The sequence below is a fragment of the Homo sapiens genome, chromosome 9, assembly GCF_000001405.40.
Source record: "Homo sapiens chromosome 9, GRCh38.p14 Primary Assembly".
NCBI classification, from domain to species: domain Eukaryota; kingdom Metazoa; phylum Chordata; class Mammalia; order Primates; family Hominidae; genus Homo; species Homo sapiens.
The window spans coordinates 71,551,692-71,558,391 of NC_000009.12; the positions used below are offsets into that span (position 1 = coordinate 71,551,692).

Consider the following 6,700-nt stretch of genomic DNA (forward strand, 5'->3'; position numbering starts at 1 on the left):
TACTAAGTAGAGGAGTGAGATGGATCAAAGTCATTTAAAACATGTTCAAAGTAAAGAAGATGACTATAAAGTACACACCATTTACAAACCAGCGTATTAACCAATTCTGACCAAAATAAAACTGAAATTGTGACTTTAAATATATGTTTAAGATTTTTATGTTCAGAAAATTTTAATATTAAAACACTATTTTTTATTGTAACCCACAATGAAAATTAATTTTACTAGTAAAATGCTAAGAAAATTAACAACTGCTAAGGCACCAATAGAAAATAATAAATACACATTTTGTTTGCCCCGATTATTTGAAGTGTAAGCTATTTAAAATATTGCAATGTACACTGAAAATAATATGCCAGTTATTTTAGCTACATAATGCCTTGATGTTTTTAAGAGACAACTTCAAACTTGGGAGCTAAGGTTAAATTTCATTTTACTCAAAGTACTGAAATTATTGAATGCTTCAGAATATATTTCTTTCTCTCTAATAGACAATTTATAGGCAATAGTCATAGTGCCTTATTTCTGTATTAAAGAAATGTTTTTCTACTTTGCACTTGAGTCCAATCACCCAAAACACAACCTCTGGGCTCACTACACTATCACATTCTCCACAGAAATCTGCAATGAACACACAATGAGCTTTACAAAGAACTTTCCACAGCTCAGACAAGTTTAATACACCTAATCCTCTTTTGTAACTTCCTTCTAAAGTTTGCTAACAAATCTCCACCAAGGATCAAACCAGCAAGAACACTTTGGTGTCTTGAATTTAAAAGGCTCCTTTGATCTCCTACACAACTTAGCAGCTGCATTTCTGTACACTTAAAAGAAACACGAAACTCACCAGATTTGTTTGTTTGTTTTTCATTTGGGCAACCTTCAAACAGATGAACTATAATGACTCCAGCTGTCTCCTCACTTCATTCTGCCAAAACCAGGAGGTGCGACAGGTGCGGGGAAAGCTCCAGCCAGCCACGTCGCTGTGCAGGATTGAGGGGGAGGGGTCTCACTCCAAGGGCAGTGGGAGAGCCTGGGCAGGGAAGCCTGCCACAGGTTGCAGTGGTTGGCTTTGGCAGCCCCGTCTTCTAGCTTTGCTTCCAGTAGGTGGTGAGTTTGCAAATGACAGCTAACCCCTGTGCTCCAAGGACTGACTCTTAGAGTAAGCGCCAGTGCCTGTGTCAACTGTGGAGCTAAATCAGTGCAAGGGGGAGAAATTAAATTAATAAAGAACCCTCCATCCGGTCACACCAACTGCCACCGAAAGCAAAGGAAATCACCTCTTGGTTTCCTCAGGATTTCATTGATTTTCCTAACTGGATAATAATTACCCCAACCCTTACCTTATACTGTCTGTGTAGTGCATTGATTATTAATACTTGCAGAAAATGTTTCCTGACCCAGCTCCTATTTATAGCCAAAGTCTCCTTTGTTGACAGCGCCTTGCGGGATCAGGAGGGAATATACCATTTACCCTGCACAGCATGGAGCTTTGCCTCACCAAGGCTCATTACTTGCACTAAAAATGAAATATGATGGTTCATAATAATGACAAAACACAATAAAACAGCTGGTGGCTTCATCATTGTTCACTTCACTTGTTTATGCATAAGTAAGTGCACACCGTTAAGGTGAATCAGCTGAACCCCCAGCATCCTGATGGTGATGAGAAGGTGCTGCCTTCTGACGTAAAAATCTTACCTTGGGAGTGTGCTCAGTTCTCTCCAGAGATGCCAAGAGTTTGCTCGTTTCCCTCCATTATGTAATGCTCCAGAAATAGGGGAAGGAATCCCATCTAACTCGTCTTTCACATTTCTAAGAAAATAAAATTCCCATCTTTTTTTTTTTTTTTTTAAACAGAGTTTCACTCTATCTTGCCCAGGCTGGAGTGCAATGACGTGATCTTGGCTCACTGCAGCCTCTGCCTCCCGGGTTCAAGCAAAGTGATTGTCCTGCCTCAGCCTCCCGAGTAGCTGGGATTACAGGCACCCACCACCATGCCAGGCTACTTTTTGTATTTTTAGTAGAGACAGGGTTTCACCATGTTGGCCAGGTTTGTCTTCAACTGCTGACCTCAGGTGATCCGCCCTCCTCGGCCTCCCAAACTGCTGGGATTACAGCCATGAGCCACCTCGCCTGGCCAGATCACCACACAATTTTTCTTAAGCACCTTCTGAACTGATCCTTAGACCTCTTCCTGCCTTCTCAAATCAAAATCCAAGAAGGCTGATTTTAATGAACTATTTTTAAACTTGGAACGTTGGGAGAACGATGACAAAAAATCAAGAGTAGACCAGATTAAAGCATATGGCAATAATATGCAGTATATTTGGTATGGCTAACAATCCTATAGCAATTCATTTCAACATTAGTCAAATGATTGTAGTAGCAAGACCATAAAGAGATCTTTAAAAGGCCCACATTTCACATACCAGGTCACCGAATCTCCCAAAGGCTGAGGGACTTGCTTGATGCTCCATAGCAAGTCACTGGGACAAAAGGAGTGAACCTATGTCTCCTATGTTCCAGAACTGTGTTCTTCCTATGACCTCATGCTTTGTGCTTACTAAATATTATGCTTCTTTTATAATAAACTTAGTGGCTTAAAAGATAAGTGGCTTATCTCACAGTTTCCATGGGTCAAGAGGCCAGGCATGGCCTACCTGGACCCTCTGCTTAGAGTCTCACAAGGCTGCAATCAAGGTATTGGTCAGACAGCATTCCTTTCTGGAACTCAAGGTCTTCTCCAAACCCCTTGTGGCTGTTGGCAGAATTTAGATCCTTGAGATTGTACGACTGATGTCATTTTTCTTGCTGGCTGTCAGCAGGTAACATTCTCAGTTCCTAGAGGCCACCCATATATCCTTGCTGTGTGACCCTCTCACTACATGGCAGCTTATTTCCTATAGAACAGAGAATCTCTCTCTCTCTCCAGTCTGCTAAAAAAAAAGTCATATATCATAATTGAGTCATGGGTGTGACTATCTCTTACCTTTACCATATTCCAATGACTAGAAGCAAGTCAGAATTTTTGCTCGGATTCAAGGGGATGGGATTATTCAAGTCCATCACTCATTGGAGGTCATCTTAGAATTGTCTACCACAAATATTATTTAAGAAAACAAAAAACCACAGACATATATGTGCAATAGTCCTACCACTTCTTAAAAGCCAAAGCTAAAAGACTAGTTGTGTCAATTATTTCTGTTCAGCGGTTGCACCTTATATTTTGGTTCTTTTTCTGTTTTTGTTTGTTTTCATTGTAGTAGCCTTCTTATTCATGTAGGGCCCTTCTATTCATCCTGGGTTGTTGTTGTTGTTGTTGTTTTTAGTACTCAGGTCAAGAAAACCTTGGCCATGGTCTAGCTTAAGGATCAGGCTATTTTGCTTGAAACAGAAGGGACAAGTCTTTTTTTGATGCCATGCTGAGGAACCCAAATGCTTTCAGAAACGGGTAGGATTTAGCCACACAGAGAGGAGAGGGCATCAGAGATGGAAAAAATGGCAAATAAAGGAAAATTTCACTGTGTGACCTGAGCAGCTTTATGCCCATCCATGCTCACCCATGGGTGAGTGTTGGGTTTTGGAAGTAGATAAGAAAACACCTGTTTAGCAGCACTTGTGATAAAAACCTGAAATTTGAGATCTGGGTTTAGCTTTATGAACTTTGGCAGTCAATGAAGCCTTCTGATTCCCTCTTTCATATACGTAAATAAGGGATTAATAACTTCTCAGGCTGCTGGTGAGAAGTAGAGGAAGAAGTTAATGGCATCTTAGCTATCACTCAGCATAAAGAAAGTACATTTCACTTTGGGACAAAGTCAGAGTCTGGCTTAGGTAATGTTGGCCATAGCCACCAGGGTTGGTATATTATTTGATTGAATCAACATGTTTGTGGAGTATGGAAGTTATACATACATAAGGTAGTATCACTTAAATTCATTTGTTGTATTATAAATTACAAAGTTAACACAAGTTTAGCGTAACAAATAAAACAATGCATAACGAAAACAAAGATCTCATCCTGTGCTTGCTATACATTCCCACTGCCTAAAGTATGCGACATTAAGTCTAGCATATATTTTTCCATACCCTTGCACATATGTGTGTGCATCAATATATACATATGTATGTAGAAATGTATAGACACACATATCGGTGATTCTTTTCTTAATAAAGTTAAAATTATACTGCACAAACCACTCTATAAACTGAAACTTGACAAAACATCATAGGCCATTCACATAGGTTTGTACATATAGAGCTAGATTTATCTTTTCCACCTAGTTTGTGTTGAGTGTGTGTATTTGGGGATCGTACATTTGTTTTTTATTCCAGATATTTTTTACTTGCTTTCCATCCATCAACTTTCCTTTGCCCTCATCCTCATCACCACCACCCCCACCCCCCTGCCCACGTAACCCATGTTAAAACCTAATATGTATCTCTCTAGTCACATACACACACCTACACACAGGCACTTCCATGGGAGAGTTGATATTATTTTATAAAAACTGGATCTTATTATACACATTTCTCCAAATCTTTGCACAGTCAATAGTATTTCATGGAAATCTCTCCCAGCTAAGACTAATAGAGCTCTAATTCATTCCTTTTAATAGATGTATAAGTTTCCATGCTATGAATGTGTCATAATTTATTTAACTATCACGAACAATGTGGTAATAACCATCCTTGTATATATTTCCATTTGTAGTTAACTCTTTATTTCTATGGAACATATTTCTATAAGTGAACTTGCTAGGCCAACAAATATGTGTATTTACTTTTAATTTTAATAGATATTGCCACCTCTCTTTCTAAACATTGTAACAAACTCTATCATGGGGACATGAATGTACTCTTTTAGGTGTTTGTCCCATAAGACAGGCCTTTACATTGTGTGTCTGTTTAATTTTGCCAGTCTAATGTCAGTAAATTGACATATCATGTCAGCTTTTCATGTGTTTATTGAACATATATATTTTTTATATTTCTAGTGACTTGTCCTTTTCAAGTTTTAATTGCCCTATGTATGGGTATGTTTATAAATCCTTTGTCATTTGTATTACCAACACTTTTTCCAAACCCATCACCTGTTTTTTACTTTGTTCATATTACATATTATAATTATTTTTAACTTTTAATAAATACATCTCTATTTTTCTTCTATATGTTCTCAGTTTCTAGTCCTGATTATAAAGCTCTCTTCTACCTCTATATATTTTCTAGATTTTCCTGCAATTTTTTATTTGTGTATTTATTTGCATTTCCATCTTTAATCATGATGCAGAAACATATATAGCTTTAAGTTCTAAGCTCATTCTAGCTTCATATTTATAAACTCATTCCAATTACTAGAGTGAATTCCTAAAGCCATTCAAATATTCAGTGTTGGACTGACTCCTTTTTCCTCCTAACTACTAGCCTTATAGGAATATTACAACTCTGATTAAATCTGATATTTTATGCTCATTTTAAAGGTTATCAACATATTCATTCCTAAAACTCTTTCATTAAACTTAGGTAAAATAGTAAAAAGTAATTCAAAATATTTTATTGTTTCATTTTATTATGGCATAATTATAATAACCGCTCCCATTTATTCAATGCATAGCAAGATAATTTATTGAGATGTTAAGGTATGTTTTGATTTTGCTGCAGCAGGCCTTTGCTTAAACACAAGAGGCATTCCGCAGAAAGTAGAAAGTTGCCAACATCAATCTTCCTTTCTGGTTTTTGTTTCCAGAGTGTGATCTCCTACAGGAGATTATGTTGGGTTGGCCCAGAGGAGAAGGGAGGGAGTGTTTTTGGGTGGGGCGACAGAGACATGAGAGATATCTGTACAGCTGCAGGTTTAGGGAAGATTGGAACTGCTCCCTCCTCCCTGCCTCTCACATAGGAAAGCTGGGCTAGAAATTCTGAGGTTCCCAGCATTGGCCAATGAAGTCCCAAAGCCCTGCCTAGCCTAGAGGCAGCACAGGGTCATGTAGAATGACCATAGAGAGAAAGACACACATGAACTGATAAATATTTTAGCAATTAAAGACCTCCATATTCTTTACTCAACTCTAGACAAAGGGAAGGAAATCCAAGACTGAGGTTGGAGCTTAAACAACCTAATAGAAGGCAGGCTCCAAAGAGATTAATACTGCTTAGAAAACTATAGTGTGGCTTACGTATATGCTTCTATTTCTTGAAGTAAAAGTCATGCCAATTATAAATAATGTGTACCAGGCATTATGCTAAGTTCCTTATATAGATGAAGTTTTATTTAACACTGATTACAGCCTTATGAGTATGGTACTGTTATTATGTCCTTTTATCTGCATGTTACAGATAAAGAGAGTTAAATTAGCTCATCCAACATCACATCACTGGTGAGCGGCTGAACCATGATCACTTTTAATCATTATTCTATACTGCTTCAAGATGACATAAACAAAAGCCCTTTGTCTACTATGAAGCTTTATAGAACATAAATGCCATGTAAGTTATTGCTGCAAATGGAATAGGATAATATTTGGGGCTATTAAACTTTCTTCCTTGCCTGCCCTCACCCACCTGTCTTTTTTGAACTTGTTATCCTTTCCACCAGTAAAGCTGAGCCATGAACAGGAGGCTCAGTTCCCTAGATAAGGAGAGGGCAGATACCTCCTTTAACAAAGAAGTCATTACTTGGCTTTGAGTTTCAAATAAA

At 37.9% G+C, this 6,700-nt stretch overlaps 2 annotated features.

Annotated features, from left to right (window-relative positions):
• Positions 521-1,021: an enhancer, noted in NCBI's record as "H3K4me1 hESC enhancer chr9:74167128-74167628 (GRCh37/hg19 assembly coordinates)". NCBI's record gives its function as "activates a minimal SCP1, AML or CMV promoter by ChIP-STARR-seq in primed H9 embryonic stem cells {active_cell/tissue: H9 hESC(primed)}" and the evidence as "EXISTENCE:reporter gene assay evidence [ECO:0000049][PMID:30033119]".
• Positions 1,022-1,522: an enhancer, noted in NCBI's record as "H3K4me1 hESC enhancer chr9:74167629-74168129 (GRCh37/hg19 assembly coordinates)". NCBI's record gives its function as "activates a minimal SCP1, AML or CMV promoter by ChIP-STARR-seq in primed H9 embryonic stem cells {active_cell/tissue: H9 hESC(primed)}" and the evidence as "EXISTENCE:reporter gene assay evidence [ECO:0000049][PMID:30033119]".